Genomic DNA, 14,138 nt, shown 5'->3' with positions numbered 1-14,138 from the left:
TCTGAGGCCTCTGTTCTGTTCAGTTGGTCTATATATCTCTTTTGGTAGCAGTACATGCTGTTTTGGTTGCTGTAGCCTTGTAGTATAGTTTGAAGTCAGGTAGTGTAATGCCTCCAGCTTTGTTCTTTTTGCTTAGGATTGTCTTGGCTATATGGGCTCTTTTTTGGTTCCATATGAAATTTAAAGTAGTTTTTTCTAATTCTGTGAAGAAAGTCAATGGTAGCTTGATGGGGATAGCACTGAATCTATAAATTACTTTGGGAAGTATGGCCATTTTCACAATATTGATTCTTCCTATCCATGAGCATGGGATGTTTTCCCATTGTTTGTGTCCTCTCTCATGTTCTAGAACAGTGGTTTGTAGCTCTCCTTGAAAAGGTCCTTCGCATTCCTTGTTCGCTGTATTTCTAGGTATTTTATTCTCTTTGTAGCTATTGTGAATGGGAGTTCACTCATCATTTGGCTCTCTGTTTGTCTATTATTGGTGTATAGGAATGCTTTTGATTTTTGCACACTGATTTTGTATCCTGAGACTTTGCTGAAGTTGCTTATCAGCTTAAGGGGATTTGAGGCTGAGACGATGGGGTTTTCTAAATATGCAATCATGTCATCTGCAAACAGAGACAATTTGATTTCCTCTCTTCCTATCTGAATACCCTTTATTTCGTTCTCTTGCCTGATTGCCCTGGTCAGAACTTCCAATACTATGTTGAACAGAAGTGGCGAGAGAGAGCATCCTTGTCTTGTGCTGGTTTTCAAAGGGAATGCTTCCAGCTTTTGCCCATTCAGTATGATATTGGCTGTGGGTTTGTCATAAATAGCTCTTATTATTTTGAGATACATTCCCTCAATACCTAGTTTATTGAGAGTTTTTAGCATGAAGGGGTGCTGAATTTTATCAAAGGCCTTTTCTGCATCTATTGAGATAATCATGTGGTTTTTATCATTGGTTCTGTTTATGTGATGGATTATATTTATTGGTTTGCATATGTTGAACCACCTTACATCCCAGGGATGAAGCCAACTTGATCGTGGTGGATAAGCTTTTTGAAGTGCTGCTGGATTTGGTTTGCCAGTATTTTATTGAGGATTTTCGCACTGATGTTCATCAGGGATATTGGTCTGAAATTTTCTTTTTTTGTTGTGTCTCTTCCCAGTTTTGGTATCAGGATGAGGCTGGCCTGATAAAATGAGTTAGGGAGGAGTTTCTCCATTTCTATTGTTTGGAATAGTTTCAGAAGGAATGGTACCAGCTCCTCTTTGTATTTCTGGTACATTTCAGCTGTGAATCTCTCTGGTCTTGGGCTTTTTTTGTTGGTAGGCTATTAATTACTGCCTCAATTTCAGAACTTGTTATTGGTCTATTCAGGCATTTGACTTCTTCCTGGTTTAGTCTTGGGAGGTTGATGTGTCCAGGAATGTATCCATTTCTTCTAGATTTTCTAGTTTATTTGCATAGAGGTGTTTATAGTATTATCTCATGGTAGTTTTATTTCTGTGTGATCAGTGGTGATATCCCCTTCATAATTTTTTATTGTGTCTATTTGATTCTTCTCTCTTTCCTTCTTTATTATTCTGGCTAGTGGTCTGTCTATTTTGTTAATCTTTTCAAAAAACCAGCTCCTGGACTCATTGATTTTTTGAAGGGTTTTTCGTGTCTCTATCTCCTTCCATTCTGTTCTGATGTTAGTTATTTCTTGTCTTCTGCTAGCTTTTGAATTTGTTTGCTCTTTATTCTCTAGTTATTTTAATTGTGATGTTAGGATGTCAATTTTAGATCTTTCCATCTTTCTCCTGTAGGCATTTGTTGCTATAAATTTCCCTCTAAACACTGCTTTATCTGTGTCCCAGAGATTCTGGTACATCGTTTCTTTGTTCTCATTGGTTTCAAAGAACTTACTTATTTCTGCCTTTATTTCGTTATTTACCTAGTAGTCATTCAGGAGCAAGTTGTTCAGTTTCCATGTAGTTGTGTGGTTTTGAGTGAATTTCTTAACCCTGAGTTCTACTTTGATTACACTGTGGTCTGAGAGACTGTTTGTTGTGATTTCCATTCTTTTGCATTTGCTGAGGAGTGTTTTACTTCCAATTATGTGGTCAGGTTTAGAATAAATGCAATGTGGTGCTGAGAAGAATGTATATTCTGTTGATTTGGGGTGGAGAGTTCTGTAGATGTCTATTAGGTCCGCTTGGTCCAGAGTTGAGTTCAAGTGCTGAATATCCTTGTTAATTTTCTGTCTCGTTGATCTGTCTAATATTGACAATGAGGTGTTAAAGTCTCCCACTATAATTGTGTGGGAGTCTAAGTCTGTTTGTACGTCTCTAAGAACTTGCTTTATGAATCTGGGTGCTCCTGTATTGGATGCATATATATTTAGGATAGTTAACTCTTCTTGTTGCATTGATCCCTTTACCATTATGTAATGCCCTTCTTTGTCTCTTTTGGTCTTTGTTGGTTTAAAGTCTGTTTTTTCAGAGACTAGGATTGCAACCCCTGCTTTTTTTTGCTTTCCATTTGTTTGGTAAATATTCCTCCATCCCTTTATTTTGAGCCTATGTGTGTCTTTGCACATGAGATGGCTCTCCTGAATACAGCACACCAGTGGGTCTTGACTCTTTATGCAGTTTGCCAGTGTGTCTTTTAATTGGGGCATTTAGCCCATTTACATTTAAGGTTAATATTGTTATGTGTGAATTTGATCCTGTCATTATGATGCTAGCTGGTCATTTTGCCCATTAGTTGATGCAGTTTCTTCATAGTGTCAATGGTCTTTACAATTTGGTATGTTTTTGCAGTGGCTGGTATGGGTTTTTCCTTTCCATATTTAGTGCTTCTTTCAGGAGCTCTTGTAAGGCAGGCCTGGTGGTGACAAAAATCTCTCAACATTTCCTTGTCTGTAAAGGCGTTTATTTCTCCTTCACTTATGAAGCTTAGTTTGGCTGGATATGAAATTCTGGGTTGAAAATTCTTTACTTTAAGACTGTTGAATATTGACCCTCACTCTCTTCTGGCTTGTAGAGTTTCTGCAGAGAGATCCACTGTTAGTCTGATGGGCTTCCCTTTGTGGGTAACCTGACCTTTTTCTCTGGCTGTGCTTAACATTTTTTCCTTCATTTCAACCTTGATGAATCTGATGAGTATGTGTCTTGGAGTTGCTCTTCTCAAGGAGTATCTTTGTGGTGTTCTCTGTATTTTCTGAATTTGAATGTTGGCCTGCCTCACTAGGTTGGGGAAGTTCTCCTGGATAATATCCTGAAGGGTGTTTTCCAACTTGGTTCCATTCTCCCCATCACTTTCAGGTACACCAATGAAACGTAGGTTTGGTCTTTTCACATAGTCGCATATTTCTTGGAGGCTTTATTCGTTCCTTTTCATTCTTTTTTCTCTAATCTTTTCTTCATGCTTTATTTCATTAAGTTGATCTTCAATCTCTCTGATATCCTTTCTTCCACTTGATCGATTCAGCTATTGATTCCTGTGTATGCTTCACGAAGTTCTTGTGCTGTGTTTTTCAGCTCCATCAGGTCACTTATGTTCTTCTCCCAACTGGTTATTCTAGCTAGCAATTTGTCTAACCTTTTTACAAAGTTCTTAGCTTCCTTGCATTGGGTTAGAACATGTTCCTTTAGCTGGGAGGAGTTTGTTTTTACCCACCTTCTGAAGCCTACTTCTGTCAGTTTGTCAAACTCATTCTCTGTCCAGTTTTGTTCCCTTGCTGGTGAGCAGTTGTGATCCTTTGCAGGAGAAGAGGCGTTCTGGTTTTTGGCATTTTCAGCTTTTTTGCACTGGTTTTTCCTCATCTTCATGGATTTATCTACCTTTGGTCTTTGTTGTGGGTGACCTTCAGATGGCGTTTTGTGTGGATGTCCTTTTTGTTGATGTTGATGCTATTCACTTCTGTTTGTTAGTTTTCCTTCTAACAGTCAGGCCCCTCAGCTGCAGGTCTGCTGGAGTTTGCTGGAGGTCCACTCCAGACCCTGTTTGCCTGAGTATCACCAGCGGAGGCTGCAGAACAGCAAAAATTGCTGCCTGTTCTTTCCTCTGGAAGCTTTGTCCCAGAGGGGCACTTGCCAGATGTCAGCCAGGACTCTCCTATATAAGGTGTCTGTCGACCTCCGCTGGGAGATGTCTCCCAGTCAGGATACACAGGGGTCAGGGACCCACTTGAGGAAGCAGTCTGTCCCTTAGCAGAGCTGGAGTGCTGTGCTGGGAGATCTGCTGCTCTCTTCAGAGCCGGCAGGCAGGAACATATAATTCTGCTGACGCTGCGCGCACAGCCACCCCTTCCCCCAGGTGCGCTGTCCCAGGGAGATGGGAGTTTTATCTATAAGCCCCTGACTGGGGCCGCTGCCTTTCTTTCAGAGATTTCCTGCCCAGAGAGGAGGAATCTAGAAAGGCAGTCTGGCTACAGAGGCTTTGCTGAGCTGCAGTGGGCTCCGCCTGGTTTGAACATCCTGGCTTTGTTTACACCGTGAGGGGAAAACTGCCTACTCAAGCCTCCGTAATGGTGGATGCCCCTCCCACCACCAAGTTCGAGCGTCCCAGGTCAACTTCAGACTGCTGTGCTGGCAGTGAGAATTTCAAGCCAGTGGATCTTAGCTTGCTGGGCTCCATGGGGGTGGGATCTGCTGAGTTAGACCACTTGGCTCCCTGACTTCAGTCCCCTTTCCAGGGGTGTGAATGGTTCTGTCTCACTGGCATTCCAGGTGCCACTGGGGTATGAAAAAAAACTCCTGCAGCTAGCTTGGGGCCTGCCCAAATGGCTGCCCAGTTTTGTGCTTGAAACCCAGGGCCCTGGTGGTGTAGGCACCTGCGGGAATCTCCTGCTCTGCGGGTTGTGAAGACCATGGGAAAAGCGTAGTATCTGGGCTGGAATGCACCGTTCTTCATGGCACAGTCCCTCAAGGCTTCCCTTTGCTAGGGGAGGGAGTTCCCTGACTCCTTGCACTTCCCCGGTGAGGTGACACCCCACCCTATTTCTGCTTGCCCTTCATGGGCTGCACCCACTGTCTAACCAGTCCCAATGAGATTAGCCAGTTACCTTAGTTGGAAATGCAGAATTGCCTCCCTTCTGTGTTGATCTCATTGGGAGCTACGGACCAGAGCTGTTCCTATTTGTCCATCTTGCCCAGGTCCCCCCAGCTGTGTGATTCTGTTTTGTAGTGCTGAATAGAACCATATCCTAGGGAGGGCAAGTTCTTGGTAGCCTGAGTTATGTCAGTAAGGGCAGCATTTTATACTTGATTCCTATCAGCTCTGGGGTTTATGTAAGTGCACATGGTTTTGGGAATCTACTATTCATTTACGGGGCTGCCTTGAATGGCCAGATAAGCTGTTTCATTAATACCCACTTCTTGTTTGCGTGCTTTTATCAGAATACATGCTCTACATTTGGCTTTTCAAGCATTCTGTTTATATGTGACCCTTGTCACCCCAACGCTGGCCGTTTTGCAGATTGTTCCTTCTGCTGAGAGCACAGAGGCTCTGCGGAACTTTCTGTGGATTCCTCTGGTCTCCCAATGTCCCTTCATGGGATTCTGAGTGTCCACTTTCTCAATACAGAAATCTCAGGAGGTAAAGGAAATCCAAGAAAAAGGGGAAACTTTTCCTTTGTCCCCTGATGGGAAACTTCACACATTGCCAAGTATTTTAAAGCAAGATTTGACCCTGAACAAAACTAAGAAGAAGTTGATGTTTGCAATCTCCTACTTTTTGACCTCCTTTGGTTACCCACACCCCTATAACCCATGGGCATTATGGTTTCCTCAGCTGTCTTCCACTCCCAGCTTCCCCTCCTGCCTTCTCTGGCAGTAGACAAGATGATTTCCAACCTGGACTTCCACAAGCCCACAGTTGCATTGTTATATCAATGTATTAATCTTATATCAGTATCATAATGACTGGTAAATAACATAGAACCTTTCCTTAAAAAGTTCCCATTGGACATTATTTTCAGAGGCTTTCTAAAAATATTGCTTTAACCCAAAACATAGTTTAAATGGGAAACTTTTAATCAGAATATTGAAAATATTTTGAGTTTTGGGGACCTTTTGGATTTTTTTTGCCACATATTGATCTAATAATACAATCACTTCTAGGAAGCAATCTTAAAGGACTTATCAGACATGTGGACCAGGATTCATTTGTTGAAATGTTTATCACATTTTGTGATAAATGTCCTATTTTTGGAGAAGGCTCTTGACTTTCACAAGATTTTTGCAAATCTCCAAATTCACAAATCCCATGATAGCTTGTAATTCCTCTCGTGAAATGCAGGAAAGTAACTTAAAGGTTTAAGTAATCCCTTTAGACTCTTAATTTATATGCTGTTATAATTTATAATGCATTTATAACATCATTAAAATAAATTCTTAGTAAAGCACTCAATGTTTCAGAATCATTTTTCCTTGTTTTCATACAAGTTGGGGGTATTAATATCACAGATGTAGGCCTTGGGAAAATTTAACATTTGACTTTAATTTATCTAAATCTTCTATTTCCTGGCTAAGAAATATTATCTTCTTAGGCAATTTTTCTTCACTTTCATCAACAGCCCTGTAAATGGGCTTTTACTGTAGGGAGGAGGCAGACCATTTAACACAAAGACACAGTTTTTTTTTTCTTTTTCTCTTTTCCATCATTTTATTACAGTGACTGCATACAGGGTAACCACTAGAGCATAACACAGTGAATTTGAGATTTAAATTCCAGGTGCTAGGCCAGATTCACTCACTAGCTCAGGGACTCCTCCCACACAGCAGCCATACAGCATTCCAGATTCAGACCAGCACCCCAGAGAAACAACAAATAGAACTGCTTGTCAAGTGGTTGGTGCTCATAGCATTGTATAAAGAAGAGAGAGAGAACTTAGATTTAAAAACCCACTATGCTTACTTTAGTTTTCATTTAGTCATGTCATTTTGAACCATTCTTTGGTTCCCTTATCCATAAAACAGAAATGAAAATCTTCACTTTGCAAGTTTATTATAAGGATCAGTGATAATTTAAGAGCCTGGCACAGGTTGATTCAAGTAACTTTTTTTTTTTCAACTTTTAAGTTCAGGGGTACATGTTCAGGATGTACAGGTTTGTTACATAGGTAAACGTGTGCCATGGTGGTTTCCTAGACAGATCATCCCATCACCTAGGTATTAAGCCCAGCATCCTTTAGCTATTCTTGATGCTCTCCCTTCCCACATCAACAGGCCCCAGTGTGTGCTGTATCCCGCATGTGTCCATGTGTTCTCATCATTCAGCTCCCACTTATAAGTGAGAACATGCAGTGTTTGGTTTCCTGTTCCTGTGTTAGTTTGCTGAGGATGATGGATTCCAGCTCTATCCATGTCCCGGCAAAGGACATGACCTCATTCCTTTTCACGGCTGCATAGTATTCCATAGTGTATATGTACCACATTTTCTTTACCCAGTCTATCACTGATGGGCATTAGGCTAATTCCGTGTCTTTTCTATTGTGATTAGTGTTGCAATGAACGTATGTGTGTGTATCTTTATAATAGAATGATTTATATTCCTTTGATATATACCCAGTAATTGGAATGCTGGATCTAATGTTATTTCTGCCTTTAGGTCCTTGAGGAATCGCCACACTGTCTTCCACAATGGTTGAACTAATTTCCAGTCCCACTGTAAGAGTTTCTTTCTCTCCACAACCTTGCCAGCACCTGTTATTTTTTGACCTTTTAGTAATAGCCATTCTGACTGGCGTGAGGTGGTTTCTCATTGTGGTTTTGATTTGCATTTCTCTACAATGATCAGTAATGTTAAGCTTTTTTTCATATTTTTGTTGTCCCCATTTATTCTTCTTTTGAGAAGTGTCTGTTCATGTCCTTTGCCCACATTTTAATGGCGGTTGTCGGGTTTTTTCTCTTGTAAATTTGTTTAAGTTCCTTGTAGATTCTGGATATTAGACCTTTGTCAGATGGATAGATTGCAAAAATTTTCTCTCATTCTGTAGGTTGTCTGTTCACTCTGATGGTAGTTTCTTTAAGTAACTCATTATTATTATAAGAAATTTAATCCTGGCAAATAGTATGAAACCTTCCAATGCCAAGTAAAAATTTAAAAAATTAATGACTCACAATAGGGAAAGGGAAAATAAATTATGCTACATCTATAATCATGGGCTACTATACAACGATTCAAAATAAGATTCACAACAATTTGATAGGAGAAATTCTCATACTTTACATGGTTAAAAACTGTAAAAACAAGAAGATTATGAACAATATGGTGAATATATGTGTATATAAAAATACACAATAAAATCATTCTACAAATACTAGTTATTTCTGGATGAAGGGAAGTGATTTTTATTTTCTATTGTAAATGTCCCTTATTTTCTATTAGATCTATAATAAGTACATATTAGCTTTGTACTAAGAAAAAAGTTATTTTAAATTTCTGGCATATGGGTGGCTATGTTTTCTGACTGCAGAAAGTACTGGCATTGTTTAAGGCTTACATGCTAATTTGATCTTGATATTACACAGATGTGTCTGGCCCAAACCAAGATAGGCAAAGTTCTGCATTGGGAAGAATTGGCCTGGCAAGGATATCATTTTGGATTTCTCAACAGTGGGAATGATGTGGAAGATAGAAATTTGCCTCTTGCAAATATCATAGATAATGTAATAACAGAATGATAACATTTACAGAAAAACATAATTGCTTCATTTTTTGTTTTAATGCCTACTGCACTTTAGTCCTATCTTGGGCAAACACGAATGTCTCACTGCATAATTGCCATGTTTATGGTTACAATTTGAAAGCACTCCTAAAACCATTCGCCTGTTTAAATTCATAATGCCATTTAGTAATGGTGATGTAATAAATAATAAGTGTATTCCTTAAAACTAAATGTCTAATTCTAATTTCGGTTTCACTTACTTTTAATTCTCAATTTTTGTTTTGTCAGGTGAAGTACATGATGACCTGGATCAGAAGACAGAAATAACTCAGGTGTGGAAGTGATAAAATTTTATTCTTAGTTTTAATTTCAAATTATATGTACTTTTAAGAAAATGATAAACTTTTAGTGTCCTGATTTCCACCAAGACCAGATGAGATACTTAATGCATAGCATTAAAAAATAGATTAATATGATTCAAAATTCCTTCTCATATTACTGAACCAACCACAGAGTTCCTTCTATTTTTTATTCTTGAGATATTTATGCAGATACAAGGAATTATATTTCCACACCTTTTACATAGTGAGAAAAATAATTATATAGGTGGTAGCATAATTTACATAATGTTCTTCAGCGTTCTCAACAATATATCTTGGAGATCTTTCTAGATTAGTTTTAAAAAAGTACTTTCTCGTTCTTTTTAATGGCTGAATGGTATTTTGTTATATTGATGTTCCAAAATTTATATGAAGAGACTCTAATGGACATTTAGGATTTTCAATATTTTTCTAGTAAAGAAAATGCAGCAAAAAAACTGTGTACATATGTTATTTCACATGTTAGAGAATATAGAATCTGTTTCTAGAAATAGAATTGCTAAATCAAAAGGTATCTGCATTTGTAATTTGATAAATATTGCAAATTGCCTTCTTTAGAATTTATAACAATTTACCCTGACACAAACAAGTGTAAGAGTGTCTGATTTCCCCCACTGTCACCAACACAATGTTTTATCAAAGTTTATGATCTTTGATGAGATTATATGAAAAATGGGTACATCAATATTGGTTCTAATTTTAACTTCTCTTGTTATAAGTAGGGTCAACATATTTTCATGTTTAAGAGCTTATGATATTTCTGTAAGTTTCTGGTTCATAATTTTTTTTTTTTTTTGAGATGGAGTCTTGCTCTTTCGCCCAGGCTGGAGCGCAGTGGCGCAATCTCGGCTCACTGCAAGCTCTGCCTCCTGGGTTCACGCCATTCTCCTGCCTCAGCCTCCCGAGTAGCTGGGACTACAGGCGCCCGCCACCATGCCTGGCTAATTTTTTGTATTTTTTAGTAGAGACCAGGTTTCACCATGTTAGCCAGGATGGTCTTGATCTCCTGACCTCGTGATCCACCCGCCTCAGCCTCCCAAAGTGCTGGGATTACAGGCGTGAGCCACTGCGCCCGGCCTCTGGTTCATAATTTTTTTACCCATTTTCTTCTATTGGGTTGTCTATTACAAAAATTAACTTGTATATTTCTATATTAGGGAAAATAAGTATTTGTCTGTGAAATGAGTTTTATGTATTCTTTTCCCAATTTGTCCTTTGTCCCATGATTATTTTTCTGGTATTTTTGCCATGAAAAATATTTTATTTTCATGTAATTGAGTTTATCACTTTTTCCTCCATCACTGAGGTTTATGCCTTAGATATAAAGCACACCATCATTATAGAGTTAATGTTTTACATTTAAATCTTAGATTCATTTGGATTTTATCCTGGTGTGGGATGTAAAATATAAGTCCAAATATATTTTTCTCTAGATGATTACTGACTTTACCCATTTATTTAAAAGCCTGTCCTCTTTTTCACTGATTTGGGATATTACTTTTATAGCATGCCTAACTCTTGTGTACTAGGTCTATTACTGAATTTTTGATGTGTTTTCTTTCTGGCATATGTTAGCATCATACTGTTTTAATTATTGACAAAGGCTGGGCGTGGTGGCTCATGCCTGTAATCCCAGCACTTTGGGAGGCTGAGGCAGGAGGATCACATGAGGTCAAGAGTTCAAGGCCAGCCTGGCCAACATGGTGAAACCCCGTCTGTACTAAAAACATAAAAATTAGCCAAGCGTGGTGGTGGTGCCTATAGTCCCAGCTACTTGGGAGCCTGAGGCAGGAGATTTGCTTGAACCTGGGAGGCAGAGGTTGCAGTGAGCTGAGATCTCGCCACTGCACTCCAGACTGGGTGACAGAGACTCCGTCTCCAAAAAAAAAAAAAAACCAAAAAAATTATTGACAAGGCTCAAGGCTCTAACATTTGGTAAGACTGGTTGTTTTTCAGTGCTCTTTTTTTCCCCTAGATTTCTCTTAACTGTTTTGCTTATTTAGCTTTCCTCATGATATTTTTGTTAGAATGATGTTAAATTTATTGATTATCTTAGGAAGTGTTAATATCCTTATGATGTTGAATCTTCTTATCCAAGAACACAGTATGTATTTCAAGCTACTTAATTCATATTTTGTGCCTCTCAGAAGCATTTTCAGGTTTTCTGCATAAATACCTTGCTCATTAAAAAAAATTATTCCTAGGTATGCAATTAATTTTTGGGGTTATTGTTTCCACCTAGTGTCTTTCTCTCCATTATGCCTCTTAATATGAAAGCAATAAATTTGATTGTTAATTTTGTATAACACTGTCTTACTATATTTTCTTTTGTTTATAGTAACTTCTAGTCTTTTTTGTGGGGTTTCCAAGTATATAACCATACTATCTGGAAATAGAGACAATTTTATCCCTGTCATTCTAACTTTTTTACTTTTAATTTATTTTTCTTATCTAATTGCATTGGTTAGTACTCTTAGAATAATACAAAGTAATATGGTCTTTTTTTAAATATCTTCATTTCTGACATTAGTGCATATGCTTCTAGTATTATCCCACTAAACAGAATGAAAAATTTGGATTAGAATAGATATATTTTTGGAATATTCATCTATTCCATAAATATAAATTTATTTTCACACATAAAAATTTATTTTTCTAAAGTACAAGTTGGATACTGAATTTAGCAATAGCCCTTTGTCACCCATGAGGATAATAAAATGTTTTTTCTTCCGTGGATATATTAATATGATGAATCATATTAACAGATTCAATTTCATCCATATTTTCCTGGAATAAATGCCACTTGTCATGTTAAACTGTTTTTTAATATGCTACTAGATTCTATTTACTAATGCTTTATTTAGATATGCACATTGATCTTTGTAAGAGACATGGTTCTGCAGTGTTCTTTTTTGGGATAATATTTGTTTTGCTACCAATGTTATATTTGCTTTAGAAACATAAATAAGGGATCCTTCCTTCTTTTTGTATTCTGTGGGACAGTTTATATAAAATCAAAATAATATATGCCTTAAAGTTTTCATAAAATTCCCCTATAAAATTATGTGGACCTGGTGCTATTTCAGGTGGTAGCTCTTAGATAATGTTCTTACAGTCTTGTCTACAGTAGTTATCTGTTTAGAATTTCTATCTCTTTTGGAGTGATTTGGAAAATTATATTTTTTTAGAATATTGTCAAATTCAATCAGATTTTCACATTTATTTGCAAGCTCTCATAAGTCTTTTAAATTCACATTTATTTTCACATTTATTTACAAAGACTCATAAGTCTTTTAAATTCATATTTCTTTTCGCATTTATTTGAAAAGACTCATAGGTCTTTTAATTTCCTCTTTATCTGTGGTTCTTTTTATTATTTCTTATGTGTTGTTTTTGTCCTTTCCTGTCTTAATTATGTTAGTAAATAGTTTAGTTGCCCCTTCTTCCATGAAAAAGTATAGCTGTTGGATTTACTTATTTTTTTCCTGCATTTTAATCAATAACTTCTGCTTCTTTATTAATGCCTTCTTCGTTCCTTACAGTTTTTTGTTTTGCTTTTCCCTACTTCATACTTGGATGCTTTATTTATTTATTTTTATTCTTTCCTGTTTTTTAAGAATACAAATATTTAAGGTTAACAATTTCCCCCTGAACACTGCTTTAGTTTTATTACATATATTTTGGCATGTAGTTTATTAAAGTATTTTAATTTTATTTTTATATGATTATTTTATCTTTATTTTTCTAATATCAGTGAGTTCAAATTGAACCACTGAGTTTGAACCATAAGCTTTTAAGGAAGAATTTAAAATTTGCAGATGGTAAGGGTTTTTTTCTCCCTAATTTTATTGCACTGTTAATAAAAGAATATATTTTTATTGTTTCTACCTTTTAGAATTTATTGAGATTTTCTTTGTGGCTTAATAAGGTTAATTGTTATTAATGTTTCAGGACCCTTAAGAAGAAAGTACTTGTATTCTCTGTTCTTAAGGTAGGAATTAGCTATGTATAATTTAGCTCTATCTTGTTAATTATATTTTTTTAGGTCTTCTATATAATTATTTATCTTTTATTTATGTTATCTGTTTGAGTTGAAGAAGCTAATTAAAGTGTTCTGATCATAGGTCATATATATTCCAAAGTCTGTTTTATTGAGTATTGATGCTAGTTTTTGGTTACATTGATGGTCATAATGGTTTAACTTTTATTATGAATTACACAATTTAACATTAAAAGTACTCTTTTTTGACTCATTCAATTCTTCTTGGCCTGATTTAAACGTCATTTGATATTAAGATCATTATTCTTGAGTATTTTTCGTTTATATTTGCCCACCTTTTATTTTCAAAGTTTCTGAATTACTTTGATTTAGGTATATCTTTTGTGTAGAACACAGGGCTATAGTTTGCTTTTGCTTTAAGTTCCAATCTTTTAATGAGTTTGGCCCATTTACATGGGGCTATATCTTGTCTTGGTTCTGTTATAATATTTTAGGTTATTACTTTTTGTCTTTATAATTCTTAATAATTATTTCCTTATATGGTCTCTTTCTTTTACTCTGTGTGTGTGTGTTTGTGTGCGTTTCTTGTAATATTTAAGGAAGTATTTTATTGTTTCTGTACTGTATACTCTCAAGTGTTTACATAATACTTTAAATTTTTTCTTAAGGCAGCATTGATCAATTTCCTAATATGAACAATGATGAGATTATTATTTCTCTTTCGTTTCCTCATATTTTCCTAATATTTTTCTTAATAGTACTCTTAATCTGAAATGTATATAAATTTCTATGAGTCGATTTGCAGCTTTAAAAGATATTTTTTGGTTTTCAAATACCAAAATGAGGAAATCAACATGTTCTCCCAATTTTTTTTTTGCAATCTTTTCACATAGTCAAGTGTGTAATATTTGCATTTTGTTTTGTCATCCTAATCTATTGGTTTTAGACCTATTCCTTCAGCTAAAGATATTTTGTGTCCACCACTAACTAGTCCCTTTCTCATTTATTTTTTTCAGTTATTTTTCTATTTGGCTGAAGTTCACCCTCTAATTTCAAGAATACTTCATAAGAAATATCTATTCAGGCCAAGTGTGGTGGCTCACACCTATA

General features: G+C 36.4%; 1 protein-coding gene across 47 annotated transcripts in view; it reads left to right on the top strand.

The window, feature by feature from the left end:
* ATP8B4 (ATPase phospholipid transporting 8B4 (putative)) overlaps positions 1-14,138 on the top strand; it is a 323,617-nt gene that overhangs the window by 210,898 nt on the left and 98,581 nt on the right. For 46 of the 47 annotated variants that reach the window (NR_073597.2, NR_073596.2, NR_073598.2 and 43 more), the window contains one exon: positions 8,937-8,980. Coding sequence is in view for 42 of the 47 variants with exons in the window: in XM_011522056.4 (XP_011520358.3) it covers positions 8,937-8,980 (44 nt within the window). In the remaining 5 variants the exon portion in view is untranslated. Of the gene's footprint in view, positions 1-8,936; positions 8,981-12,999; positions 13,020-14,138 lie in introns of those variants that run through there. The other variant, XM_011522070.2, reaches the window with a different exon arrangement.

Source organism: Homo sapiens, chromosome 15, assembly GCF_000001405.40.
Source record: "Homo sapiens chromosome 15, GRCh38.p14 Primary Assembly".
Classification (NCBI taxonomy): domain Eukaryota; kingdom Metazoa; phylum Chordata; class Mammalia; order Primates; family Hominidae; genus Homo; species Homo sapiens.
The sequence above is the reverse complement of the archived record's forward strand: the minus strand, read 5'-3'. Positions and strand labels throughout refer to the sequence as shown.